Source organism: Homo sapiens, chromosome 5 (assembly GCF_000001405.40).
Source record: "Homo sapiens chromosome 5, GRCh38.p14 Primary Assembly".
NCBI classification, from domain to species: domain Eukaryota; kingdom Metazoa; phylum Chordata; class Mammalia; order Primates; family Hominidae; genus Homo; species Homo sapiens.
In genome coordinates, this window is record NC_000005.10 from 95556044 (window position 1) to 95571330 (window position 15287).

Consider the following 15287-nt stretch of genomic DNA (forward strand, 5'->3'; position numbering starts at 1 on the left):
ATGATCCATGTTTTAAAAAGTGCTGCTTAGACAATTGTTTGGTTATTAATTGTAATATTAGTTTATTATCACTCGGTGTTACTGTGGTCACACAGATGTTGGTGTTAAGCATATCTGGCACTAAAGAGTGTTTGTAATCATATGTTGTATTTCCTTTCTCGTAGATTCCTGATGATTAAAATTACATAGTCTGGATGTGCCCATGGGATTTTTTGAAAATATTACTTAAAGTTATCTTTGTGATTTAAACTTAGAGAATGGGCAGTACTGGAAATTGACTAGATGGCATTTTATTACAGAGTGCTCTTGTAATCAAAGGCAAATGAAGGAAGCAGGATTGTGCAGAGGAGAAGCTGAATTTTGTTGCCATCTTATGAATGACAGTTCTCAAACTAGTATGGTGCTTCAGAGCTGCTTTCCAATAGGAGTGAGGAGAACAGACCTTTCCACCTGCATGTTGGATGGCCACTGGTTGTGGGCTGCTCCTAGAATGGGGCATGGTGTTGGGCAAAGCAGCTGTCTTCAGCAGAGGCAATTGTTCATTCCTAAAAGGGAATCCGAATGTGGATCACAACATCCCAGAAACTTCCAAAGATGACTGAGATATATAGGTTTGTTATTTTTTTTAGTGTAGTATGAATGCATAGATTTTTCTATATTTGTGCTTAAATTTTTTGCATTCACGGCCGGGCGCGGTGGCTCACGCCTGTAATCCCAGCACTTTGGGAGGCCGAGGTGGGCGGATCACGAGGTCAAGAGATCAAGACCATCCTGGCTAACACAGTGAAACCCCGTCTCTACTAAAAATACAAAAAAATTAGCCGGGCGTGGTTTCGGGCGCCTGTAGTCCCAGCTACTCGGGAGGCTGAAGCAGGAGAATGGCGTGAACCTGGGAGGCGGAGCTTGCAGTGACCTGATATCGCACCACTGCACTCCAGCCTGGGCGACGGAGCGAGAGTCCGTCTCGAAAAAAAAATAAAAATAAAAATAAAAAAATTTTTAAAAAATAAAAAATAAAAAAAATTTTTGCATTCACATACTTGTTAATATTCAAACTGTCCTATCTTTGGCCAGTGGAAGCCCCTTCAGGTGGTTCTGAGTCCTTTTGACCCATCCCCATTAGTATTTGACAGCTTGCTTTAACAGAGTTCCATGTCCACAATACATATTTCCTGTCCCATCTTGTATTTAGAGACCACAGTCTGAGTGTTAGGGTGTTCATTGCATCTAGACCTTTCCAGTGGACAAATCTAGAAAGTATATAATATTTTAGAATGAGAAAAATAAATTGTGAGATCATACTGATACTTTCCATTCAAATTTAAGATTACAAGTTTATTCTTTGATTTTTATACTTATATCTTTTTTGTTTTATGCCAAATATTTTGGTCTAAATGCATTAATGCAATTACTTATTTGCTTTATCCAAACATATAATATGTATATATCAATGTGTTTGAAAATAAGACTGTAATATTACTAGAAATAATGCTAGTCCTGAGTGCAGCTTACAGTTTCTTTGAAGTTTTTGTTTTAGGTATATTCAACTATATAGTAAAAATGTTGGTCTTTAAACTTAAAATAATTCCTCTCTCTATGATTATACCAGTTTGGTATGCTGTTAGATTCTTGACACTGTGATTTATCATTTCTAAAACTCTGCAGGCTAAGATAGAGCAGTTAAGCTGGATAATAATTGTAGGAAGAAAATAGCAAATTGGTTTTACTTTCAGGATAACAACGCAAGAGCTTTGTAGATCAACTCCCAAGAAAACAAGCAAACCAAATGAAAACTCTTTTTTAAACTATACATAAAAACTATTAAATATTTGAAACACTTAAAGTGTCTGGAAACTGTCCTAAGGTCATACACCAAATGAAGAAACATTTATTCAAGAAAATCTATGAAAACTTGGTAAGAATAGCAAGAAGGGTCTGTGGCAGTGAACTATAGTTTTGACAGAGGTTTCACTCAGGTGGGTGTGGCCAAGAAGATAGGACTACTCCCCCTCGGCTCCCAATCACCAGTTATGGTATCTCACCAAAAGGGACAGGCTGTGAGATTTCTCATCTTCTCCTAATCCAAGTTGGAGAGGTTAAATTCCTAATGAATGCAGCTGAGAAGTTGAGGGCTCCCTTACTTCAGTCAGCCCCCACTTACAGGACAGAGGCTTTATGCCAAGTGCGGAAAGTTGAGAATCCTAGGGCCCTAATTGCCCTGGCCCTAGCTCTCTAGTAGGACAGAGGTTCCATACCAGGAGAGACAAGCTGAGAAGACCAAACAAGCTTCTGCAAAGCAAGCAGAATGGAGGAAATAATAAGGATTAGGGCAGAAATTAAAGAAACAGAGGATGGAAAAATAGTAGAGAAAATCAATGAGACCAAAAATTGGTTCTTAGACAAAATCAGCAAAATTGACAAACCTTAGCTATACTGAACAAGAAAAAAGACAAAAGAGCTAGATGACTAAAATCATGAAAGAGAATGGTTACATTATCTTAAGAAATAAAAGAATTACAAGGGAATACTTACATACAACAACTGTATGTCATCAAATTAGATAAATGAAATGGACAAATTGCTAGGAAGGCAGAAACTACTGAAACTGACTCAAGAAGAAATAGGCAATCTGAATAGACCTATAAGAAGTAAAGAGGGTAAACTGGTAATTTTAAAACTACCAACAAAGAGAAGCACAGACCCAAACGGTTTCACTGATAAATTCTACCAAATACTTAAAGAATAATTAATACTAATTCTTCATCTACTCTTCCAAAAATTAGGAGAGAACACTTCCAAACTATAAGACCAGTTTGGCCGGGCGCGGTGGCTCACACCTGTAATCCCAGCACTTTGGGAGACCGAGGTGGGTGGATCACCTGAGATCAGGAGTTCGAGACCAGCCTGGCCAACATGGCGAAACCCTGTCTCTACTAAAAATACAAAAATTAGCCAGGCGTGGTGGCAGGCACCTGTAATCCCAGCTACTCGGGAGGCTGAGGCAGGGAGAATTGCTTGAACCCAGGAGGCAGAGGTTGCAGTGAGCCGAGACGTGCCATTGCACTCCAGCATGGACAAAAGAGCAAGACTCCATCTCAAAAAACAAAAACAAAAAAACAGTTCATGCCTGATTCCAAAGCCACGAATACATCACAAGGAAAGAAACCCACAGACCAGTATCCCTTAGGAATATAAGAGCAAAGATCCTCAACAAAATGGATTTGGCCCTCCATATTCACAGGTTCTGAATCCGCAGATTCCACCAATCTCAGATAAAAATATATGGTATTTATGGGATGTGGAACTCACAGAACTTGACTTTTCCTATCCATGGGTTCCACAGGGCTGACTGTGGGACTTGAGCCCGCAAAGATTTGGTATCCTTGGGAGGTCCTGGAAACAATCCCCTGCAGATACCAAGGGACAAATGTACTAGGAAACCAAATTCATTAGTATGTAAGAAGGATTATTCACCATTACCAAGTGGAATTTGTCCCCAAAATGTACAGTGAGTTTAATATCTGAAAATCAATTAATGTAATACATCATGTTGACTGAATAAAGGACAAAACCCATGTGATCATCTCAATAGATGCAGAAAAAGCATTTGAGAAGATTTGACAATCCTTATGCATTCAACTGGCTAGAAATAGAAGGGAACTAAAAGGCATCTACAAAAAAAGCCAGAACTTTACACTGAATGGTTAAAAGAAAAAAAAAATCAGTTTTCTGACTAAGATCAGGAAGAAGACAAGGATGTGTGTTCTCACCACTGCTATACAGCATTGTACTGGGGGTTCTAGCCACAGAATTAGAAAAAAGATTAAATAAAAGGCATTCACATTGGAAAGGAAGAAGTAAAAGTATCTATACTTGCAGTAATCTTGTATGTAGGATTCTACGGCTCCACTACAAAACTATTGAACTAATAAATTAGTAAGGCTGTATACCAGATCAGTGTACAAAAATAAATTGTATTTTATATACTTAATTGATTAACACACTTATAGTCAAATTAAGAAAACAGTTCCATTTAAAGTAACATCAGAATGGATGAAATACTTAAAATAAATCTAATCAAGGAAATATAGTTCTTATACTCCGAAAACTACAAAACATTGTTGAAAGAAATAAAAGAACATTTAAATAAATGAACAGACATCCCCTTTTCATGGATCAGAAGATTTAATATTGTTAATATAGCAGTACTCACCAAAATGATCTACAGATTCAATTCAATGCCTGTCAAAATCCCTAGAACCTTTTTTTTTTTCTGCAGAGATGGAAAAACCCATCCTAAAATTCATATGGTAATTCAAGGGACCCAGAATAGCCAAAAATAAATCTTGAAATAAAAAGAACAAAGTTGAAAGACATACACCTCCCAATTTTAAAGCTTATATCTTAACTACACCAATCAATGTAGTATGTTATTGGCTTAAGGATAGGTGACATACAGATCAATGGAATAGGATCTAAAGTCCAGAAATAAACTCTCATATTTATAGTAAATTGATTTTTTAACAAGGGTGCCAAGACCATTTAATAGGGAAAGAATGATCTTTTAAACAAATGGTGCTGGAAAAAAAAAATATGAATGAAGTTGGACCCTGCCTTGCACCATACACAAACACACAAAAAAAAACTTTAAGTAAATTGATTGATTAATCAAATGTAAAACTAAAAAACTCTTACAAGAAAACATAGGTGTAAGTCTTTGTGATTGTGGATTAGGCAATTAAAAGATGGGCAAAAGATCTTTTTTTTTTTTTTTTTTTTGAAATGGAGTCTCGCTCTGTCACCCAGGCCGGAGTGCAGTGGCGCAATCTCGGCTTACTGCAACTTCTGCCTCCCAGGTTCAAGCCATTCTCCTGCCTCAGTCTCCTGAGTAGCTGGGACTACAGGTGCCCGCCACCACACCCAGATAATTTTTTAATTTTTATTTTTAGTAGAGATGGGGTTTCACCGTATTAGCCAGGATGGTCTCGATCTCCTGACCTTGGGATATACCCGCCTAGGCCTCCCAAAGTGCTGGGATTACCGGCATGAACCACCATGCCCGGCCAAAAGATCTTAATAGACATTTCTTCATAGAAGATACGCAGATGACAAATAAATACATGAAAAGATGCTCAACATCATTAATCATTCGGGAAATGTAAATCAAAACCACAGTGAGACACCAGTTATACCCACTGGGATGGTTATAATGAAAAAGACAATAACTAGAGATGGCAACAATGTGGAGGAATTGCAACCCATACCCTGCTGGTAGGATCACGCAGCCATTGGAAATCAGTTTGGCAGTTTCTCGAATGGTTAACCATAGAGTTGCTGTATAATCCAGCAGTTTTACTCCTAGGTGTATATTCAAGGGAAATGAAAATATAAGTCTACACAAAAACTTCTACATGAATGTTCATAGCATTATAATGTTCATTATACATAATGGCCAAACAGTATAAACAACCCAAATGCCCATCAATTGATAAATGGATAAATAAAATTTGGTAATATTATTCAACAATAAAAAATATGGTATATGCTACAATATAGATGAAACTTAAAAAGATTATGCTAAATGAAAGAAGCTAGTCAAAAAGGACCACATATTGTATGATTCCATTCATATGAAATGTCCAGAAAAAGCAAACATAGAGCCGGAAAGTAGGTTAGTGGTTGCCTAGGCTTCAGGAAAATAGAGAGTAATGGCTAAAGAGTGCAGAATGTCTTTTGGGGATGATGAGAACATTCTAAAATCGACTATGGTAATGGTTGCACAGCTTTCTGAATACACTAAAAACCATTGAATTGTACACTTTAAATGGATGAGTTGTTTAGTGTGTTAATTATATCTTAATAAACCCATTTTTAAAAGAACAGAAAACAGGCTAGGCACGGTGGTTCACACCTGTAATACCAGCACTTTGGGAAGCCACGGCGAGCAGATCACCTGAGGTCAGAAGTTCGAGACCAGCCTGGCCAACATGGTGAAACCCCATCTCTACTAAGAATACAAAAATTAGCCAGGCATGGTGGTGGGCACCTGCCCAGCTACTCGGGAGGCTGAGTCAGGAGAATCGCTTAAACCTAGAATACAGAGGTTGCAGTGAACCGAGATTGTGCCACTGGACTCCAGCCTTGGTGACAGGGTGAGTCTCTGTCTCAAAAAAAATAAATAAAAATTTAAAATTAAATAAATAATAGAAAAGAAGCATCTCTGCCTGGGTCTTAAAGGACAGAGGCATCTTCTGCATCCCCACTCCTACTCCTACCTCTACTCCCTGCCACTGCACCTGTATCAGTTTTAGTTTTGCTGAGGTTTCAGGAGTGGCAGGGGAGAGTAGGTACAGGAGTGTTTACTAGAGAGTCTAGTGAGAATCTCATTCAGTCTGATGGACAGATCTGGGAAGAACACTATAAGCAGTCTTGCCATGCTGACATGGCAAATTAAAGTTGCTGTTACATTCTTTTATTAGGATGATTAATTCAAACCTAAACTTCTCTGATTCTGCATGGCCCATAATGATAAGGAACCGAGTACAAGCCATGGTTCAGAAGGAGCAATCAAAATCACAAAATTGTATCTACAAAAAGACTTACCCACCCCAAGGGGGAAAAATGTGTGGACCCATGAGAATTAATTAACAAGAGCAGAATGCAGCAACTAAAGGCAGTTGGTACCATTTCTGTAACTTTTGCAGAAAGCCAATTAATGGGTCATTTTTATTTCTTAAATGCCCAATTTTAGAGTGCTTAATTTGTTTGAACCATAGGAATGGCCTTGAGAAAATTGAAATGGGCTATTAGTAAGTTATAGAAGTTATAACAAAAGCCATTTTTCAAGATTTTCTCTGCCAACTAAATTTGACAGAACTGTGTTTTCACTTATAACTGGCTATCCATTGTAAACCACATTAACATACTATGGAAAACTTACTTTCTCTCTTTTTCATCAGCCAGCTGTGTTAAGATGCCTTTCAGTTCAGAATGAAATATTCTACTGACCGTCTCCCATTGATACCATTATCAGCAGTACTAGTAGTAGCCTAGTTTTTAAATGATTTGTTAGTGTGTAAAAACTACATGAAGTCAAAAACCAAAACTTCTAGAAAATTTTTAAATATTTTCTCTAATAACATTTTGGTCTTCGTTTAGAGTATTATTGATATTTCTGATATTGAGAATATGTATATCATAATTTAAATATTTCCTAGGAACCAAATTTTGCAATTGATATGCTTAATCCAGTTTATTAAGCTTTGCAAAAATACACTGTTGAATTTTGAGCATAAATTTGTCTTCTTTTTTAAATTGAACAAATCTCTGGATTAGAGATTCATTTCATTTCATTCACTGAATATTTGCATACCGCTCACTGCCTTATATATATCTCAGACAGCAATCTTAACATAGATCACCTTTCACTGATGGAATCGTTGGGAACTTTCCCACATGACGGCAGTCGCCCCCTCCCTTTCTGGTTATCTCTGCCACTATATTTCAAAGAGTCCTGCTTTCCAGCCTGCTTTTGATACAGATAATGTCCCTGTACTAGTCATAGAGATGAGTCAAGAAATCACTAACATCGATTTTAATCTGACACATTAGTTATTGATATGCTGCAGTAGTCATTTGCAGTGGTAGTTACACCAATTTGAACCTAGCCTGCAGGACTTGGAGTCCAAATCCCAATATGTGAATTATATAGCACCTTTAAGACAGTTCTACCTTGTGACCTTCTGCTCCATCCCCCAACCAGATAAGCCTGGGTTGTCTAGATTCTAGGCAGTGGCCACAAATTGTTATCTCCCCATGTTCAAAAGATTGTAACCATAAGACATATATACATTTGGAATTTGTGAGGATAAATTTCTGAGAATTTGAATTTAAGGGCTTAAAGAAATTCTCATGAGGGAGGGCTATGCACTTTTTTTTTTTTTTTTTTTTTTGAGATGGAGTCTTGCTCTGTCACTCATGCTGGAGTGCAGTGGCGCCATCTCAGCTCACTGCAACCTCTGCTTCCCGGATTCAAGTGATTCTCTTGCCTCAGCCTCCCGAGTAGCTGGGATCACAGGCACCTGCCACCACGCCTAGCTAATTTTTGTATTTTTAGTAGAGACAAGGTTTCACCATGTTGGCCTGACTGGCTTTGAACTCCTGACCTCAGGTGATCTGCCTGCCTCAGCCTCCCAAAGAGCTGGGATTACAGGCATGAGCCACTGTGCCTGGCCACTATGCACTTTTGTCTTCGCCTTTCTAGCTCATCATTGAGGAAATCAGTAGTTATTTGCTTAGCATTCAATGATTACTCTTGCTAGAAGTGGTAATTTATTTTGACATAAGACATGCATAATTTTCCCCATCTTAAAAAAAGAACTGACTTTAATCCCACATTTTCTTCCAGCTAACACACCATTCTCTAACATCCCTCCCGTTTTTCTGTTTTGCTTTGCAAAATAACTTCTCAGAAGAGCTTTTCTTTTTTCCCCCTGCTGCCTCACTTTCCTGCCTCCCATTCCTTCCCCTTTCCAGTTTAGCTGTTCATCTTTACCACGCATCGAAAGTGCTCTTGTCAGGGTCACCAGCTGTCTCCATACTGCCAATTCCAATGTGCATTTTCTGGCCTCATTTCAGGTGCATTCTCAACACAGCAGATGTTACCTCTTTCTTGGCACACTGCCTTCTCTCAGCTGTCATGGCACTCGGTCTCCTCACATCTTCCTCCCTTGGCCATTCTTTCTCAGTTTCCCATGCTGTTTCCCCTCTTATTTGGGACTCCTTATAGCTTCCTCTAGACCCTTTTCTTTCCCCTCCTTCTCTCTCCCTGAAAGGTTTTATTTAATCTCACAGTTTTCAAAACCATGAATATGTTAAATACTCCCAAGTTTTATTTCGCCAAGATAGACTTCTCTCAACTCCAGATTCCTATCTGTATCCAACAGCCTACTTTATATCTCTATTTGGGAATCTCAGCTATCTCAAGGATTTAGATATATTCTATATTTTGGGTTGGCTCATGTTCTAAACTGGAATTTATTTATAATTATGTTGAAAACATATAATAGATAGAACTCCAGGACTGGAACATTCTTTTTTCTGTTCTTGCTCTTTACCAACGTGAGTTCTTCAATTCCCAGTTCATCTCCAAAATGCATATCTCCAACCCAAACATCTCCTAATCTTCAGACTCACTTATCAAGCTGCCTAATTTTTTTTTGTAGAAACAGGGTCTCCCTGTGTTGCCCAGGCTGGTCTTGACCTCCTGAGCTCAAGCTATCCTCCCACCTCAGCCTCCCAAAGTGCTGGGATTATAGGCATGAGCCACCACACCCCACCCCAGCTGCCTAATTGATATCACCACTTCCATCTCACAGATATCTCAAACTTTGTATGTCCTTTAAATTCTTTGAATAGCTGGATCCTGTTCATTCTTTAGGTCTCATACATCCCAGAGAAGGCTTCCCTGTCCACACTGTCTAACGTAGGTCTCTCTTGTCCTTCTGTATCTCGGATTTTTTTCAAAGCACACGTCATAATTTGTAATTATTCATAGTTTATTTGCCAGTATACTTTTTGCCTCTCCCACTAGACTGTAAGCTTCATGGGGCCTAAGACTCTGTTTTATTCACCATTGCATCCTCAGATTTTGCAGTGTCTGGCACATAGTTAAGTATTCAATAAATACTTAGTCAGTTCATCATCCCCCAAAAGAACATTCCAGGAAGTCCTTTATTTACTGTAGTTAAATGAATCCAAGTGTAACGCTGCACTGAATTCTAGCTATTTATGTACCAGATACTGGAAACACCCTCTATACTTGTTTTGTTTTTATCTTTGGAGGATTCTTAAAATCATATTGAAGTCTTCTGCTATTGTAAATTTTATGGTTAAAGAAAATAATTTTCTTCTTTGGTAATGTAATCAATGCTAATTAAATTTCTTTATTTCCAGGATGGAAGGTTAACATTTCATCCAGGAAGTCAGGTAGTGAAACTTCCTTTTATCAACTTTATGAAGACACGTGGGACTTCCTTTCTGAATGCCTACACAAACTCTCCAATTTGTTGCCCATCACGCGCAGGTATGAACATCCTTAATATGAATGGGAGAAAGTGGCTACACACTGAAAATATATTCACAGTTTAAAAGATTATACCTAAAAGTAGAATAGTTGTATTTGGCCTCAATAAAATTGTTTTAATATAAAAGATGTGCATTTTAAGGTATATATTGGCTATTGGGGTTGTTCAAATTGTATTTTTCAAGAGTAGGAATTTTTATCATTTAGAAAGGTGTCTAGTTCATGTGTTACCGTTTTATTTCCTTGTGACTGGGGACTAAGAATCTTTTGGCCATCCAAGAAAATGAGGGAATACTCATATTTCCTAGAAGAGTTCTGTTTCCAGGGAAATTTTTCAGTAACGGTATAGGTAATTGGGAGGACTTCTATGAACATTAGAGTATACCATAAAGTAGTTACAACTTATATTCAGATTTACCTGAATTTTTTCTTATTATTTCAGATTACATACTTTACCTCTTTCTTTCCGTCTCAATTCACTTTTATCCCAAGTCAAATTGTTCACTTTTATTATAATAATTTAACAAATAGGCATAGTTTTATTGGCAGAATGTCAGTGACATTAAGCCATGAATAATTAACAAATAGGAAAAAACTGCCATTTTTATAAATTCTATCTATTGTCTGATGGTTGTTTTCCTTTTCCCCTGTCTTCTGGTTTATGTTTGTTGCCTTGGAACACATAAATGGCACTCAGTGATTTGGTTTGTCTGTAAATGAGATGATTTTCTCTGTGATTTGAGTTATAACTTCTTTCACCTATATTTTCAACACTAACAACTATATTATTACCAGTGATGAAAAGAAACTAAACTATATTGTAAATGATATTTCAATAATGAAGGACCAGGCATATTAAAAAACAGTTTTGTTAACTGTAAAGTAGAATGAGCAGTGGGCTAGGGTGAGACAATGACCTGGATGCTAATCCTCAAGCAAGTCACTCAGTCTTCTTATCTGCAAATTGCTGTGTATACTGTGTACCTCACAGGGTTGTTCTGAGCATCACATTAAATAACGAATGAGAAAGTGGCCAATGAACCCTAGATGTCTCAAAATGTTAGATGTTGTTTTTCCTGGAAGAAGTATATTTTGAAGAGTAAGCAAGGTCAAATAATTTGTCAAAGACCACTCAGTAACTGGTGTTATTGGGATTCAAACCCAGGTAATCCCCCATCCCACCTCTCAGAAAACATCTTGCTAGATGAAAACAGAAAGCTTATTCTAACTTTCTATTTATGTACACAGAAATGGGAAAAGGAAAAAAAGTGTTTATTGAATAAACAATCATAGTTGTAGAAAGTGAGAGATAAGGCATAACACACTACGTTTTTTGTGGAAAGCCAGCAAAAGGACAGGGAATAAGGGAAGATCCTTAAGGATGTTGGGGAAATGAGATCTGTACTTCAATTGTCTGATTTAGAAAATTAACCAATAAATACTTAGGGATTGTTTTTATGATTGAAAGAGGCCTCTAGTCACACATGCTTTGTATTTAATTCCAGCTGTATTTACCTTAAGTAACTTAAGCACTAAGCGTTAGTCAACTCATCTGTAAAATGGAAATAGTAACTCCCCACAGAGTATCACTCTGATAAAATGAGGTAACAATCAGAAATGTTTGGTAAGGCACCTAATCTGGGTACGTCTTACTGCAGAGCATAAGCTCTTCACTAGTGGACTGCTCTCTCAGAGTAATTGTCCTAATAGTTAAATTGTTAAGCTTTACCTTAATCCCAATTCCTTTTTTTTTTTTTCTCAGCAATGTGGAGTGGCCTCTTCACTCACTTAACAGAATCTTGGAATAATTTTAAGGGTCTAGATCCAAATTATACAACATGGATGGATGTCATGGAGAGGCATGGCTACCGAACACAGAAATTTGGGAAACTGGACTATACTTCAGGACATCACTCCATTAGGTAAAAATAAAACAAAAATAATCATCATGGACTGCCCTCTGCCATAGCGTGTACATGTACTCTTTTTGACTTTAATTTTTTTATTTTTCCACAAAGGTGAAAGTAAATCTCTTAATCCCTTCATTGTGTTAATTAGGCTGAAATTTTAGCTTTCTTTCATCTTCCTAAAACATTAAAATGGCTAATATACTAGTCATTTTGTTTTTCTTAAGCATTAAAGGTCTATAAATAGTGTTTGTAAACTCGTTTAGCCCACGCTTTATTTTCATTGAATTTCCTTTAATGGCTACTGTATTATTAATTTTAAAATCTGTTTTTAAAACCATAGCCTTCTTGCTGCTTTCGTTGGTCAGTTCTCTCTAACTTGAGTCTATTGTAACTTTTTTTTTTCTTTCATTTTACTAAGTCCTCAAAAACCAGGCAGCCAAGCATAGTGGTTAAGAGTAGAGGTCAAGAATCAGATTGCCTGCTTTTGAATTATAGTTTCTGTTTACTACTAGCATTGTAGTAGTCTGATCTTGGACACATTGTCTAAATGTTGACACTGTACTTTAATTTCTTTGCTGTGAGGATTAAATGTATCAATAAGTTCAGAAAAGAGCTAACATAGGAGGCCTGAGACTGCTCTCCTTAGAAAGGCCTGCTTGGAAGGTTGGCCCCTGTCTGGCATCTAGGAACTTGGATTTCTGGAGTATTCCCACTATTCCTTAACTGATAAGAGTGGCCTATTGTGTGCCTGGAGCATTTGTGCATTGTGGTTTATGCCGAATACCAGCTTTCCTTCCAGGAGTATGGAATTTTGGTATGTGCGAAGTAGAGGGTGCTTATATAATCAGCACCCCCGCCTAAAAAACTTGGGTACTGATTCTCTAATGAGCAGAAACAACACTTCACATGTGTCGTCGCAATTTGATGGTGGAAGAATTATGTCCTCTGAGACTCCAACCGGACACTTGTGCCTAGTTTCTTCTGGACTTTGCCCTAAGCACCTTTTCCCTTTGCTGATTTTGCTGTGTATCCTTTTATGTAATAAATTATAGCCATGAGCGCAGCTGTATTCTGGGTCCTGCAATTCCTCCTACTGAACTTCGGTGTGATCTTGGGATCCCCCAACACTTGTGAACCCCAACACGAATACATATTAGGGATTACAGTGCCTCTTTCTTACCTAGGCAAGTGCTAATTGAGGGTTATTTGTAATGGTTGTTGTGATGGTGATGATGATACTAATGATGATGATAAGTAATAATAAGAAAAAATTAAGTTAACAAAAATAGTTGATGAATGTAGTGAGTTGAATAATGTTCCCCCAAATTTCGTGACCACCTAGAAAGAACTTCAGAATGTGATCTTATTGGAAAATAGACCTTATTTGCAGATGTAATTAGTAAGGATCTCCAGATGAAATCATGACTGCTGTCTTTATTAGAAGAGGAACAAGGACATAGGCACACAGAGAAGAAAACAATGTTAAGACAGAGGCAGAGATAGTAGTGAGGCAGCTACAAGCCAAAGGATGAAAGATTGCCAGGAGTCACCATAAGTTAGGAAGAGGCAAGGAAAAATTCTGCCAGAGTCTTCAGAGGGAATGTGTCTCTGCTGACACCTTGATTTTAGACTTATAGCTTCCAGAACTGTGGGAGAACAGGTTCCTGTTGTTTTAAGCCACACAGTTTGCAATAATTTATTCTGACAGTTCTAGGAGATGAATACAGTGAGTTTTGGGTAAACAGATACTAAAATAATCTAAAATAATCTGAACATTAAAATTGCTCTCCTAGTTACTGTTTAATTTCTTCCCTTTTCTGTCCTCCAAAATCTAAAAGATGGCAGTACAGGAAATGCAGAAGCAATCCTGACATTCCTATTCTTTACTCTGTCTTCTAATGCATTGCCAAATGTAGTCAGTTCTACTTCTGAATTATTTCTCCAACTTACTCACTTCTCAACTCTCTCCACCAAGCTACTGTCATCTCTTGCCTAAACTATTAAAATGGGCTTCTACCTGGACTCTTCTTACTCTATCTGACCCATTTTCTATAGGCAACCAGAATGATCTTTCTTAGATGTATGTCTGATTACATGACACACTTGCTTAAAATCTTTCAATGGTTTTTCTCTTCAGGTTAGTTAAAATCCCAAATCCACAACATGATTTATGAGACCCTACATGATCTAGCCCCTGTCTACCTCCAGTCTCATTTCATACCACTCTCTCCATCCCTCAGTATGCACCTGGTCTTTTAAAACTTTCCTTAATATGCTTTTCACTACTTCTGGACTATTGCATGAGCTAGTTTCTCTGTGCAAAATCTTGTTCCCCTACTCTTCCCTGCTAATATCAGAAAGAAAGGGAGGGAGAAGAAGTACATGTAGGAGGAGGAGCACAGGCTTTGTGTCCATCAGAGCAGTCAGATACCCAGCTTCCCTGCTCACTATCCTTGTAACCTTGGGCAAGTTACTTGATATTGAGTGTCAGTGTTCTGTAAGAATTCTTGGGCAAGTTACCTGGCATTAAGTGTCAGTGTTCTGTAAGTTATCTGTAAGAATTATGATGCCTACCTCATTGGATGACTGTGTTTTATATGAGTTAAAAGATACTATACAAGGATTAAGCGGAATAATATAAAATATTTAACAGTGCCTGGCACAGATTAAGCATTTACTCAATGGAAAGATTATTATTATGAAAATGGCTTAACCAGAATTGCAGTCTAACATTTATATAACCATCTTTTTTTTTTTTTTTTGAGACACAGTCTCGCTCTGTCACCCAGGCTGGAGTGCAATAGCGTGATCTTGGCTCGCTGCAACCTCCGCCTCCCGGGTTCCAGCGATTCTCCTGCCTCAGCCTCCTGAGTAGCTGGGATCATAGGCATGGGCCACTACGCCCAACTAATTTTTTGTATTTTCAGTAGAGATGGGGTTTCACCATGTTGGTCAGGCTGTTCTGGAACTCCTGACCTCATGATCTGCCCGCCTAGGCCTCCCAAAGTGTTGGGATTACAGGCGTGAGCCACTGCACCCGGCCATAACCATCATTTTTCTAAAGTGCTTTGCATTGCTAGTTACTTTATGGAGTTTCACAAATTTCTCTTTAAAATCTTTCTCCTTTTTAGAATGTAAGCTTAATCTAAAGTAAGATACAACTGTTTATAATAAAAGAAATCTAAGATTGAATGCCATATATTCCCTGTAACTTTTATTCTTCTATGTGACATGGTTAAAATATGACCTGACTTATATTCCGCAGCAGGATAATTATCCATGCAGAGCAAAGA

At 37.8% G+C, this 15287-nt stretch overlaps 1 protein-coding gene across 2 annotated transcripts in view; it reads left to right on the plus strand.

The window, feature by feature from the left end:
- Window positions 1-15287, plus strand: part of ARSK (arylsulfatase family member K) — a 50002-nt gene that overhangs the window by 943 nt on the left and 33772 nt on the right. Inside the window, exons 2-3 of one of the 2 annotated variants that reach the window (NM_198150.3) lie at window positions 9955-10084; window positions 11847-12006. In NM_198150.3, coding sequence (NP_937793.1) covers window positions 9955-10084; window positions 11847-12006 — 290 coding nt within the window. Of the gene's footprint in view, window positions 1-9954; window positions 10085-11846; window positions 12007-15287 lie in introns of those variants that run through there. The other variant, XM_047416820.1, reaches the window with a different exon arrangement.